Source organism: Homo sapiens, chromosome 11 (genome assembly GCF_000001405.40).
Source record: "Homo sapiens chromosome 11, GRCh38.p14 Primary Assembly".
Classification (NCBI taxonomy): Eukaryota; Metazoa; Chordata; class Mammalia; order Primates; family Hominidae; genus Homo; species Homo sapiens.
Genome location: NC_000011.10, coordinates 73,292,572 through 73,306,522, shown reverse-complemented (window position 1 = coordinate 73,306,522; position 13,951 = coordinate 73,292,572). Strand labels below are relative to the sequence as shown.

The window sequence follows — 13,951 nt, the reverse complement described above, 5'->3', positions numbered from 1 at the left end:
GCTGGGCCAGACTAGGCTAGGAGACGGGGTTCAGAGGAGAGGGGCAGGCAGGAGGATAGGAAAGGATGGTAGACACCCAGGGATTGCCTGACTACCGAATGAGAGAGAGAGGACTCAGCCGGGACTCCAGAACCTGCTTGCTACTCATATACCCCACAGGATGAGGAGGTCACTCTCCACTCTCTGGGCAGCCTCTTGAGTTGTGGAATATCTCTGTAGCAAGAAAGTGCTTCCTCTCTGTGTTGAGACCAGCATCCAGGGAGTCCCTCACCTCAACCTCATCTCAGCTCTGCCTCAAGGGGGCCAAGGAGTAAATCTCTCCCTTTTCTCTAGGAAATTGATAAAAGAGAGCCCTGCTGGCCTGTGCCTCTCTGTTCGGCCTTACTCTGTGACCTTGGGTAAATCCCTGCACTTGCTGGTGTCTGAAAAGTGAGGAGTGGGGTGTCTGAAAAGTGAGGAGTGGTTCAGGTTCCCCAAGAGTGCCCTCTCTGGCTCTGGCATTTGATGTCAGACTCTCACCTCCTTTAGTATTTTCTTTCTGCTCTTTGGGGCAAGTTTTGGTGTGTGCTGTGGGGTGAGTTGTGGAGGGGTGAGTTGGGGAGGGGTGAGTTGTGGAGGGGTGAGTTGTGGAGGGGTGGGTTGTGGAGGGGTGGGGGACAGGACTCTCATCCCAGGAGTCACTCTCTCCCCCCATAATGATGACTCTTACTATCTGAAATTTGTACTTTTCCACCTCCCTGTCAGTTCTGGGACAGAAACCCTTATCCCATATCACAGATGGGCAAGTGGATAGAGAGGAGTGGAGGTTCAGGTCATGGGCTCCCAGAGTCCTGTGGCTTGGCCTTGAGGTGAGCTGGCTGGGGCCTTTGGCTCAGGAATCCCCTTGGTGGGGAGGGGGGTGTTTAAGGATCTAGACTGGGTCTCTGTCCAAAGGGAAGCTCACCCAATCTGAGAGTGGCTTGATTGCTTCCAGTGCTTCAGGAACCCTCCCACCCCCAGCTCCTTATGATCCAGTATAAGACAAAGTTATCTTCCATGAACAGAAGAGATCTGGAATTTTAATGGTGCTTGGTAATTATGTACAGCAATTTTTAGCCCCAAGAAGACTTATTTGATAGGGGGCTGGGAGCACTGGGCACCAGAGTGGAGAGAAACCCTACGCTGGGGTTTTGAAGCCAGGCTCACCTTCCGCAGCTCACCCCCTTTTCTCTGGGCCCCAGGCTCCTCACCTATGAAAGGGTAATGAAAACAATAGCCCATCTACCCAGTGAGTCATGGTGATCTAGTGAGGTGAGGACCGTGGAATCCCTTGGGGAAATCAAGATGGGAAGGTTTTGAAGGTCACAGGTCATGGCCAGTGATGGGCTTTGGTGGGCTTCGGGTACAGATAAGTCCCCAGCTCATGATATTTCAACTTAATGATTTTTTGACTTTATGATGATGCAAAAGCTATGTACATCCAGTAGAAACCATACTTTGAGCACACATATAATCATTCTGTTTTTCACTTTCAGTATTCAATAAATTACATGAGATATTCAGCATTTTATTATAAAATAGGCTTTGTGTTAGATGATTTTTGTCCAACTCTAGGCTATGGAAGTGTTCTGGGCCTGTTTAAGGTGGGTTAGGCTAAGCTCTGATGTTTGGTAGGCTAGGTGTATTAAATGTCTTTTTGACTTATAATATTTTCAGTGGGTTTATTGGGATGTAACCTCATCGTAAGTCGAGGAGCAACTGTACTTAAGAGGGAGAGAAATGATGAGTGCGGGGACAAGAAGCAATGAGCTCCATGAAGGAGCTGTCTTAGGGGGAAATCTGACTCTTCTGACTCCATTGCAAAGCCAAATAGAAACTATCTGAGATTGCCCCCTTTCCTATATAATTAGACCTTAAGCACACAGGATTAAATTCTTTATAATATTTTGATAATGATACATTCTCATCAGTTATTTAATTGGCTTTCGCCAAAAAACAAAACAATACAACTAGGACCTTTAAAATAATTCACATCTCATTATACAGTTCTTCTGCTCCCATCCTCCTGCTGTCCCACCACACAGAAAATCAGAAAATCATCATCTCAAATCCTGTGTTCAGCATTCTCTTGCTTTCCTTCAAACATATTCCTTCAAACTATATATTCCTTCAAACTATATCTTTTCATTTTAGTTGTTCTTAACTTTATAAAAAAAAAAAAGGCATCCTGCTGGACGTGGTGGCTCACGCCTGTAATCCCAACACTTTGGGAGGCTGAGGCGGGTGGATTGCTTGAGGCCAGGAGTTCAAGACCAGCCTGGCCAACATGGTGAAACCCAGCCTCTGTTAAAAATACAAAAATTAGCCAGGCGTGGTGGTGCATGCCTATAATCCCAGCTTCTTGGGAGGCTGAGGCAGGAGAATCACTTGAACCCAGGAGGTGGAGGTTGCAGTGAGCCAAGATCACACCACTGCACTCCAGCCTGGGCAACAGAGCAAGACTGTCTCAAAAAAAAAAAAAAAAAAGGAGGGGGGTTTCTTGCTTTACAAAATTTGTTGGGACTTCTTTTTTCTTAATATTAAGAAAAGATTTACCCATATTGTTGCATGCCTCTATACTCCATTCTGGCCATGTGGACTATTTCAGTGTGTGACTATATCACAGTGTGTTGATCCAGTGTCTTGCTGATGCACATTTGGGTGTTTCCAGGTGTTTGCTGAGCATTGTGCATGACTCCAGGTACACATGGACAGAAGTGCTTGGGCATAGGGCAGGCAATTGATCAACATTGGGAAGCATTGTCAAGCTGGGATCTAATTTCTCGTCTATGTTTTTTAATCATCTGTGTTTCCTTTTTTTTTTTTTTTTTTTTTTTTGAGACGGAGTTTCTCTCTTATTGCCCAGGCTGGAGTGCAATGGTGTGATCTTGGCTCATTGCAATCTCTGCCTCCCAGGTTCAAGCAATTCTCCTGCCTCAGCCTCCCAAGTAGCTGGGATTACAGGTGCATGCCACCACGCCCAGCTAATTTTTATATTTTAGTAGACACAAGGTTTCACCATGTTGGTCAGGCTGGTCTCAAACTCCTGACATTGTGATCCGCCCATCTCAGCCTCCCAAAATGCTAGGATTACAGGCATGAGCCACCACGCCTGGCCTTGTGTTTCCTTTCATATGAAGTGCTTATTTGTGCCTCTTGCTCATTTTTCTATTGGGTTATAGTATGTTTAGTACTTTATGAAATTTCTGCTCTAACTTTTCTATTCCTCGGTATCCCTGGTGGCTTAGGAAGGTCTAGTATTTTACAGGTAAGGAAACAGAGGCTCAGAGGAGTGAAGGTGCTTGGTCAAAGTCACAGACTCTGTTGCAGCCCTTCTGCACTGAGCTAATGCCTTCTGAGGCCTTCTGAGGCTCTAGGCCTCACTCAGATACATTTTCTGCCCCTCAACTAGGTCAGGGCCCCTCTGGTATTTAGCATTTCTTGGCCATGGACCATTCCAGGAGCTCATCATCTCCCTAGTGATACCTTCCTTGCCTGGGTCCTCTTTATGATCTGAGCTCTCTTCCCCAGCTGTAATGATCCAGGTCTGTATATGTTTCATTATTACCTGTCTCCTCCATCAGACTAGGGGCTCCCTGAGGGCCCAGCATGATGCTTGGCATATAGGAGGTGCCCAATAAGTATTGTTTACTGGATGAACTGTTTCCTTGTCTGCATCCCAAACCCCTTGGATTCTTTCCCAAGACTAGGGCCTGGACCTGAGCTCGTCTCAGAAACACAGAGTCAATATTCATTGAACAAATGAATGAGGGAGGAAGAGGCCAGCTTTGTCCATTGCTAGGACAGATCAAATGCTCCTGGGCTTTTCCTGTTTGGAATGGAAATTTCCCCAAGACAGTCACTGATTCCCGACTTTCTAGCTTCCCAATCCTTGCTCCTACCTCCCCACCCCCACCCCACCCGGGTTCTCTGCCCTCAACTGCCACCAGCCAACTCTCAGCAACAACTTTGTCCTGGAAACTCCATCCCTGGGCCTGGCCTTTCTTGGAATCTTTCTCCCTCTTCTCTTCTCCGCCTACTACCCCTACTTCCTTCCCTGAAACCTCTCACTCACTCACCCAGCTCCACTCTCCCCTCATACCACCATCATTCAGAGACCCCTGGGCTCCTGCCCTCCACGTCTGTGGCTCCTTCTCCTCAGCTCCCTAATCTTGGAGTTCCCAGAACGACTCCCCTCTTCCCACTCTTTCTTTCATGAAGCCCACCCACCCACTTGAGCTCAAGCCACTTTGGGGCTGACCATTCCCCAGGCTCTGCATCTTTTCTAAGCAGCCTTCCCGGTGTCCCTAGACCTTGTTGGCTCCTAGCTCCCACTCCAGCCTAGACCCTGGCCCCATCTCTGTCCAGGTCACTGCCTCGCCTGCACCTAAGGTCCACCATCCCAGGATGGAACCCAAGTAAAGGTATTAGTTTTGGCTGTGGGTCACAAAAGCCCCCCCAAAACTAGTGGCTTTAAAAAGATAGACATTTATAATAATGTTATGGGAATAATAATGAAGCTGAGGCACAGAGAGATGAAATAACTTGCCCAGGCCGGATGCGGTAGCTCATGCCTGTAATCCCAGCACTTTGGGAGGCTGAGGCGGGAAGATCACCTGAGGTCAGGAGTTCGAGACCATCCTGACCAACATGGTGAAACCCCATCTCTACTAAAATATAAAAATTAGCTGGCCGTGGTGGCATGTGCCTGTAATCCCAGCTACTCAGGAGGCTGAGGCAGGAGAATAGCTGGAACTCAGGAAGTGGAGTTTTGCAGTGAGCCACGATCACGCTATTGCACTCCAGCCTAGAAAACAAGAGCAAAACTCCGTCTCAAAAAAAATAAAAAATAAAAAATAGGCCAGGCACGGTGGCTCATGCCTGTAATCCCAGCACTTTGGGAGGCTGAGGCTGGCAGATCATGAGATTAGAAGATAGAGACCATCCTGGCCAACATGGTGAAACCCTGTCTCTACTAAAATACAAAAAATTAGTCAGGTGTGGTGGCACGCACCTGTAGTCCCAACTGCTCGGGAAGCTGAGGCAGGGGAATCGCTTGAACCCAGGAGGTGGAGGTTGCAGTGAGCTGAGATGGCACAACTGCATTCCAGCCTGGCGACAGAGCAAGACTCCGTCTCAAAAAAGAAATTAAAAAACTAAAAATAAAAAATAAATAAATAACTTGCATAGCATAACACAGCTAGTAAATGGTAGAGCCAGGACATATGCCAGGATGGTCTGGCTCTGGAGTCTGCACCTTCCATGCTATTTGGCCTCACAAAGGGAAGCTTGGAATGGAATTTACCTGTGGGTCACAATTTCCACTCCTGGAAGAGTAAGCAAAGGGTCACAGCTCTTGGAGGTCAGCTGGGACAGTCATCTGGGACTCTCTACAGGGGCTCAGGTGGGCTACGAGCAGAGGCCCTGTCCCCTGCCCTTGCTCTCACTATCCCCTAGCCCCCATCCCAGGCAATTGAGAAGATTGGTCTCAGACTCAAAGCTAGATGCAAGGTGGGTCCTATGTGCCCCGCTTGGCACGGCGGGGCACCGTACAGGGAATAAAAACCAGCCTCTGTCTTCTAACATAAATCAGTCTTGCTGTGGTCACAAGTCAAAGTTCCTTCTGTCCAAATGGTCTGCCTCTCCAGCAAGGACACTTTGAATGGCCTCCCAGGGTGGGTTGGGCCTGGGTTTCCAACTTCCTCAGCCAGCTGCAAGCACACCTGTGACATTACCATGGTGTTTAACTCCTCCATTGCCCCTCTCTGAATGACCCTATTGCCCAGCAGCTTGGGGACTAGGTGGGGCTAAAAGAAAAATATTGCATAAGTTATACAGTCCTTCCCCTCCCTGCTCTGCCTTCCAAAAAGACAGTTTCTGTATGGTGCACCAGCAGCCAAGGGCAGGCTAGATTGTTCTACATAAGAAAAACAGATCTGGGAGGAGGGCACAAGGACTGGAGGAGAAGTGAGGGGGAGAAGAAATGAAAAAAAAAAGTGGCAGAGAGAATGAGGAGCTGCAAAGGAGTGGCTGAGGGGTGGTTCTGGGAGGGGAAGAGGATTTGGTGGAGGGTGTGGGGTCTTTTTTTTCTTTTCTTTTCTTTCTTTCTTTCTTTCTTTTTTTTTTTTTTTTTTTTTTTGAGATGGAGTCTCACTCCGTCCCCAGGCTGGAGTACAGTGGTGCAATCTTGGCTCACTGCAATCTCCGCCTCCTGGGTTCTAGCAATTCTCCTGCCTCAGCCTCATGAGTAGCTGGGACTACAGGCGCCCACCACCATGCCCAGCTAATTTTTGTATTTTTAGTAGAGACGGGGTTTCACCATGTTGGCCAGGATGGTCTCAATCTCCTGACCTCATGATTCGCCTGCCTCAGCCTCCCGAAGTGTTAGGATTACAGGCATGAGCCACCACACCTGGCTGGGTGTGGGGTCTTGTGTGCTACCAGTCCCCTTTGCTGCTTCCTCCAGGGACCTTCGGTAAAGATGCCTTTCCAAGGCTTTGAAAGGCTCGGATCTGCGTTTGACATGCCTCCTTATGAGATGGCCTCAAGGCAGCTCTCTGGGTACCCACGTCAGAACGATGGGCCTGAGAGGGCAGGAGGGGAACACGGCGGGAACAGTCTGTCATGAGACTGGTCAGTAGGCTTCCAGCCGTGGGACCTCCATGTAGCAGCTTCCTGGTGGCCCTGAGGCTCTCAAGCTGCTGGCTCCTCCATTTAGAATGAAGCAATGTTGAACAGTTGTTTCCCCTCACTTAGGGGCCTGGTGGAGGTACCCCAGGTACAGAGGATACCCTAAGGTTGAAAGAGCCACACTTGAAGAGGTAGATGAAGGAGAGGTGGATCAGGGGCTCATCCTAGCATTGAATGCTCTGGCCCTACCCAGCTCTTTTCCTGGCCACCCCCTTCCACACACCCAGGCCCCACCCCACCCCGCCTACCCCCCATTTAATCGAAACTCATTGTTGCTTTACAGCCAATTTTTTTTTTTTTTTTTTTGAGACAGAGTCTTGCTTTGTCACCCAGGCTGGAGTGCAGTGGTGCAATCTTAGTTGACCACAACCTCCACCTCCCAGGTTCAAGTGATTCCCATGCCTCAGCCTCTGGAGTAGCTGGGACTATGGGCACCTGCCACTATACCCAGCTAATTTTTGTATTTTTTAGTAGAGATGAGTTTTTGCCATGTTGGCCAGGCTGGTCTCAAACTCCTGACCGCAAGTGATCTGCCTGCCTCGGCCTCCCAAAGTGCTGGGATTACAGGTGTGAGCTACCATGCCCAGCCCCTCAGATCATTTCTAACTCTGGGTTTTGCACACATCACGCCCATGCCTTCTACTGGGAGTAGCTCCAGAGCTGCTTCACTCTGCTTTTTGAATTCCTCCTGGCTCAAGCTGATCCCTTCTTCTTTTCTTTTCTTTTTTCTTAGTTATTATTTAATTTTGTTTTGTTTTGGGTTTTTTTTGAGACAGGTTCTCGCTCCATCGCCCAGGCTGGAATGCAGTGATGTGATCTCGGCTCACTGCAACCTCCGCCTCCCAGGTTCAAGCAATTCGCTTGCCTTAGCCTCCCGAGTAGCTGGGATTACAGGCACCAGCCACCATGCCCAGCTAATTTTTGTATTTTCGGTAGAGACAGGGTTTCACTGTGTTGGCCAGGCTGGTCTCAAATTCCTGACCTCAAGTGATCCACCTGCTTCAGCCTCCCAAAGTGCTGGGATTACAGATGTGAGCCACTGCTCCCGATTTATTTTAATTTTTTTAGAGACAGTGTCTCCCTCTGTCGCTCAGGCTGGAATGCACTGGATCACTCCTAGCTCACTGTAATCTCGAACTCAGCACCTCAGCTTCCTGAGTAGTTAGTACTACAGTCAGACACCACCACACCAGGCTATTTTTTATATTTTTTTGTAGAAACAGGGTCTTACTGTGTTGCCCAGGCTGGTCTAAAACTCTTGGGCTCAAGCATTCCTCCTTCCTTGGCCTCCCAAATTGCTGAGATTACAGGCATGAGCCACTGCACTTCGCCCCCTGCCTCTTCTAAGAAGCTTCCGCCGCTTAATCCCTCCATTGGCTTCCCACTGCCTGGAGCATCTGGCTAACTCTTGCCCTTGTCTGGAGGGTAGCTGAAGCACAGCTCCCATTTTCTCAGCTTTCACACACGCAAGGCCATGTGTCCTCTGCTCTGGCCCTCTGCCTGTCTGCCCAGGGCAGAGCCCAGCACGAGGCTGGCCCAGCTGGATATGCATGGAGCATACCTGGGTTGCATTAAAGTGCTCCCCACTTCTGCTTGCCAAGTTCCCACTCAGCCCTCAACATCTGGCTCAGATGCTCCCTCCTCAGAGAGCTCTTTCCTGACTCCTTGGACTGGGTCATGGGCACTGTCTGTGTACCCCCTCCCCCCAGCCATGCTTCCCTCTGTCACAACCCTGATGTTGCTGTGCCAGTCTGTACTTCCAGCAGTTGGGAGCCCGTATGGACCAGGGCTAGGACTGGTTCTTCTAGGGCCCCAGAACCAACACAGGCCTGAGCACAAGGTGTCAGTAAAGGCTTTCTAAATAAATGGAATATCACTCCTCTCCAGAGAGCTCATAATCATCCCTCAAAACCCAGCTCAAATGCCCCTTCCCAGAAGCTCTCACCTCCCCCTCTCATCTTCCCTCACCCGCTTCATTGGTGACTCAAAGCATGGAGCATACCCCTTGATGACAGTACACGTCACACTGTATTTTTGTGAGCACCTTAATGTGGTTTCCCCAGCTCTCCATGGCTGACTGGGACCTCTCAAGAGCCAGGCCCAGGTCTGTCCATCTCCATGCCCACAGGGTCTGGGCCAGAGAAGGGGCTGAAGAAATAGTTTTTGGTGAGCTTCTGGGTCCTGTGAGGGATCTTAACTCCATGCCCAGCTGAGCTGAACTCTAATTCTCCGCATGGTTTGGGGTTGGTGGGGCTCCTGGTGCCCCGGACACAATGGCAAATATGAAGGCTGCCCAGGACCTGGAGGACTCAGCGACCCTGCCTCTGCCATTTGGCTGTGAGTTTCTGTAGGAGCTCATGTGGTCGCCGGCGGAACTTCTTCTGGGTGAAGTAGAAGAGGATGGGGTCCAGCACGCTGTTGGCACTGGCAAACGGCCGCGTGCCTTTGTAGGCCGCTGCAAAGGCCTCCAATACAGTGCAGGGGACGCCCGGCGTCGAGCGCACTGCCAGGTAGGCTGTCTTGGTGATGTGAAAAGGCAGGAAGCTGATGGCAAAGGCAGCAGCCACCACCACGGCCATGCGGGCCGCCTTGCCACGCCGCTCCTGGGCCACAGGCTCTGCCGGGCCATCCTGGCGGCACAGGCGGCAGGCCAGGAGACAGTAGCAGGCCAGCAGGGCAGCAAAGGGCAGCAGGAAGCCGATGACAGTGAGAGCCATGCCATAGGGCATATAGTGGGTGGCCAGGGCAGGCGGGCTGAGGTCATAGCAGACAGTGCGGTTACGCTGGATGCCTGTGGCAGCGAAGATGGCTGTGGGCAGGCACTGGGTTGTCACGGCCAGCCACACGGCTACACACACTAGCCAGGCAGCCCGGCGGCCCCCACGTTTGTGCCAGGGGGCCAGCGGGTGGCAGATGCCCAGGTAGCGCTGGAAGCTGATGCAGGTGAGGAAGAGGATGCTGCCGTGCAGGTTGGCATAGAAGAGGAAGCGGACCAGGCGGCAGGCGAAGTCGCCAAAGGGCCAGTGATCACCTTGGGCATAGTTGTAGATGAGCAGGGGCAGGGAGCAGGCATATAGCAGGTCAGCCAGAGCAAGGTTTAGGGTGTACACGGCCGTGCGGGTCAGGGCCCGGCGGGACGTGCAGATCTGGGTAATGACACAGATGTTCAGCGGCAGGCCAGCCGCCAGCACCGCCGAATACACAGGTGGCAGCAGCAGTTGCTTGAAGTTCTCGCGGTAGACACAGGTGGTGGGTGGCAAGCCCAGAGCCTGGCCTGTGCCATTGTCCCATTCCATGGCTGCCCAGGTGGGTTTCCTATGTTCAGGGAGGCTGGGAAAGCAATACACAGCCTGTCAGTGACATGCTCACTCACCACCCAGCAGGCCCTGCCCCTCCTCGGGCCTTGATCTCCCTGTCTGAACAGTGAGGGCACTAACTTTGTCAACTCGGCTACTCTAACCACCCCGTGAAGCCCCACAGAGCCCTCACTTTGAGAAAACTTGGGATACAATAAAGCTAACTCTTGGGAGCAATCTGATTCATTTTGTTTATATATTATATATATATATATATATATATATTTTTTTTTTTCCTTCAGCCTTCCTAGTGAACTTCTATTCATCCTTCAAAGCCCTGATCATATGTTTCTTTCTCTGTTAGTGGAGATTGATGGACTTGGGTTTGAATCCCAACTCTGTTATGCATTTGCTATATGACCTTGAGGTGGTGATTTCATTTCACCCGAGAAAAGGGGGAATGCGGCACCTGCCTCTCAGGGATGTCACGAGGTTAGAAGCACTAAATCATGCTGTGCAGGGCTGCCAGGGGCTCACTGGGGTGTGGAGACTCTGGTCATGGTGGATCTGCATGTCTCTCAGAGACTGAGACCTGCCTGAGAACAGGGGCCAGGTCTGGTGTCTCTCTGCATCTTCGCCCAGGGTCTGGGGCGGAAAAGGGCCCTGATAACTCTTAGTTAACCAATGCGAAGGGTCCACACACCAGGGGCTCACTGAGGACCGCACCCATCTCCTCAGCCTGAACTCCGCCTTCCAAAGCCATGGTTCTTCTGGCAGAGGTCTTGTTATCTGTAAAATAGGGGAAGGAGGTGATACCCAGTTCCCCAAGGCTTCTTTCCACTTGAGGCTACAAAGGCAGGTTTGGCAGAGCCTCTGACAACACAGCGCCTCCTAGTGCCCAGAGTGAAAACAGCGTCCCTGAAGGCGGATGGGTGAGGGACCGAGTCAACCGTTTGTTTACAGAGATGGAAATCCAGGCACAGTGAGGGGCAGGGACTGCTCCTTCTTTCTTCGTGACTCAGAGCAGAGTCAGAACCAGAACCCAACTGCCCAATCCAGAAGAGACAGCTTAGTGTAGCCCACAGACATGGGATGTAGAGGTTACATGACCAACTTCAGAGCTAGGCAGGCCTGGGTTTAAATGTTGCTCCCCCACTTCCATGCTGTGTGAAGCAGGTTATGTCACAGTGTCCTCATCAGTGAAATATGCGGTGATGACATTCAGTAGTGCTCAATAAATGCCATGCCATTGCATTCTACATCTTGTCCCTCCTCTCATTCTTTCGGGCTGGGTTTTGGGAGAGCCAGCAGCACAAATACCCTAAGGGGTTCCCTGATGGGGTAAGTCTGACTCCTAGACACTCACCTCGAAACTGACATTGCCATATTACTGGTGTCTAGAGAAAATTTGCAACTTAAATCCAATGGGCCTTTGAGATAGTGAATCTAATCCTCCTCTCTTGCCATTTTACAGATGGAAAAACTGAAGCCCAGAAAAAATATGAAGTCCTGCAAATGCACTCAGTGGGTGGTAAAGGGTTCAGGCAAAGTATATGGACTCTGATCCAGATGCTCAGGTTCAAGTCCCAGCTATGCCATGGATGAGCTCTGTGGTCTTGGGCATACTAGTTAACCTCTGTTCTCCAGATTCCCCATCTGTAAAATGAGATGAGATAGTACCTGCCTTATAAGATTGTTGTGAAGATCAGTGCCTGGCATGGGGCCAAGTGTTTGCTGTTCTTACTGTACCTACTAAGTAAGGTTATGGGATTTTTTAAAGTTATATTAGAGAAAAATACATTTGTCCCAACTTGCAATTTCATTTTGGTGGAGCTATTTTATCCCATTTTTGGGCAAAATGATAATGTTGGATTCTATAGTCTGCAGCCCACATCCCATGTCACTCTCAGTTATCAAAGATTCTTTGTGGGACTTTAGCCCATATGCTAGGGGTGCTGGGTGCCCAGCTAGGACAAGGTAGGCACAATGGGGAGGCCAGAGGAAGAAACATAGCAGCCCACCATAGCATAGCCAGGAAGCCAGGATTAGCACAGGCAGAGAATGTCCACTCATCTCTTCATTCATTGGTTCAGGCCATTCTCATTCACATGTTCATTCTCTTGTTTTCACATGACAGGGATTCACGGAGTCCTCCCTGCCAGCTAGATACATGAGGGCATAGTGTATAGGTGGACATGGAGATATGGGGATACAGATACAGATATGCTAGTCTGATGGAGGAGACCAGTGTGAGCCACCTGATGGAAGAGACTTTTCAGAGCAGAATGAAAGACAGAGCAAGGCCTGGGTGGTTGAGGAGGATTTCCATGAGTGGAAAAGGGTGTAAGGACACTCCGGGTGAGGAGGAAGGTTGAAGAACATAGCACCCCTCTATCATGTTCCCCTCGTCACCATAACCCTCTGTCCTTGCAGACTGATCTCCTCTCATACAGGGTCTGACAAAGAAATCTGAGGAGAAAGAAAACTGCTGGTTCGGTGGGGCTGGCCTTCAAGAGGCAGCCTCTGCCCCTCCCTGACCCCTCTCCTCACACAGGGTCTGAGGAGACCAGTCTGCAAGGGAAGAGGGTTGTGGTGAGGAGGAGAACATGCTAGAGGGGTGCTGCATCCCTCAACCTCCCTTTGGGAGGCCTGCACCCTCAGATCCCACCCCCAGGGACAGCCCTCTGTCTCAGATGACTGGGGGCTGCAGTGTGCCGCTCCCACACCCTGGTGAGACTGATCCTCCTGGGACCCCCTCCCCTCCCTCTTGGAAGGAGGCAGGGGGCTGCAGGAGGGGATCCGGTGCACAGCTCTCTGGGAAAACCTTCAGGGCTGTGTCAGGAAAGACAGACCTGGCCATTGCCTGGGCTCTCTTGTCTACTTTCTGAGGACCTAGGAGAGGTGAGCTGTTCTTCCAGTTCCTGGCAGGGGCCGGCCTCAAGGAGGGTGCTCTTGGCTCCCACCTCCAGGCAGCAGCTGACCTTGGCGCTGACATCTGTCACTAGCTTTTGGGTCCTAAGTCCTGGACCAGGCTAGACCCCAGCCTCTTCCTGGGCTGGACTCTGCCCATGGTGGGGGGCTTGCTAACAAGTGGCTCTGACTACATCCTTCTCTGCATCCCTCTGCCCTTTGGGGGAAAAGCCCAAACCCTTTTCCTGACATTCAAGACCCCTGCCAAGCCCTCCAGTCCTATCTGAAGTACGCCAGGGCCACTCTGCCCTTGCCCCTTCCTCTTTTGTCACACATTCCCAAGACATGGAGACTCCCACACAGCCAGTGGCAGCCAGAGAGCCAGAATCCCTTTCCAGCCTCCCCATCTCCACTGTTCCCTTCACACAAAATGCCATTCAACTAATCTCCATTCATCAAAACCCTAAGTGTCTATCTAGCTCCAGATCTCACCTTGCTTCTTCCTTTTTTTATCCCCCCAGCTGGGTGGAATCCCTTCCTCTGGGCCTCCTAACTCTGTGGCCCTCCTTTAAGTCAATGCTGAACCCAGCCTACCTACCCGAAGTCACAGTTCCTTGTGTCCACCTCCCCCCCCCACCCCCCGCAACCCCTGCACTGGCCCATGGCCCCAAGATGCACTGACACTCACAGGCAGCCTCCTGTCCCTGCAGCACGCTGGTGGTCCCAAGTGTGTTGGGGCAAAGGGAAGCCAGACCTGAGGCTCCCCACTCTCCTGCCCTCAGCTAGGCTGCAACTTCTCTGACAGAGTGAGCAGCTTCCTCTGTTTCCTGGCAGGGCTGTCTCTGACTAAAAGAGCCCCTGTGGGGGCCACCGGCTCCCTGCCATCCCCAACACCACGCCTAGTGCCTGGCGGAAACTGGGCTTAGAGGAGCAAGGAGGTGGAAAAAAGGCGTCCTTCCCGGAATACTCCCCTACCCCAGCAGGGGAAAGAGGGGGATGGGGGCAGAGGAGGAGGGGTAGGGGAGAACCAGAGGCTG

General features: G+C 51.2%; 1 protein-coding gene across 16 annotated transcripts in view, besides 1 other annotated feature; it reads right to left on the bottom strand.

Moving 5' to 3' along the window:
* Positions 1–7,897: 7,897 nt before the first annotated feature.
* The window catches only part of P2RY6 (pyrimidinergic receptor P2Y6), a 34,120-nt gene continuing 28,066 nt past the window's right edge, over positions 7,898–13,951 (bottom strand). For 7 of the 16 annotated variants that reach the window (NM_176796.3, NM_001277205.2, NM_176797.3 and 4 more), the window contains 2 exons: positions 10,708–10,793; positions 7,898–10,038 (listed from right to left, as the gene is read on the bottom strand). In NM_176796.3, the coding sequence (NP_789766.1) occupies positions 9,018–10,004 (987 nt within the window). In that variant the 5' untranslated portion in view covers positions 10,005–10,038; positions 10,708–10,793 and the 3' untranslated portion in view covers positions 7,898–9,017. Of the gene's footprint in view, positions 10,039–10,707; positions 10,794–13,602; positions 13,737–13,951 lie in introns of those variants that run through there. The other 9 variants (NM_001277207.2, NM_001437752.1, XM_047427038.1 and 6 more) reach the window with 3 other exon arrangements.
* Positions 11,117–11,166: an enhancer, noted in NCBI's record as "active region_5233". NCBI's record gives its function as "activates an Ori minimal core promoter by ATAC-STARR-seq in GM12878 lymphoblastoid cells {active_cell/tissue: GM12878}" and the evidence as "EXISTENCE:reporter gene assay evidence [ECO:0000049][PMID:35858748]".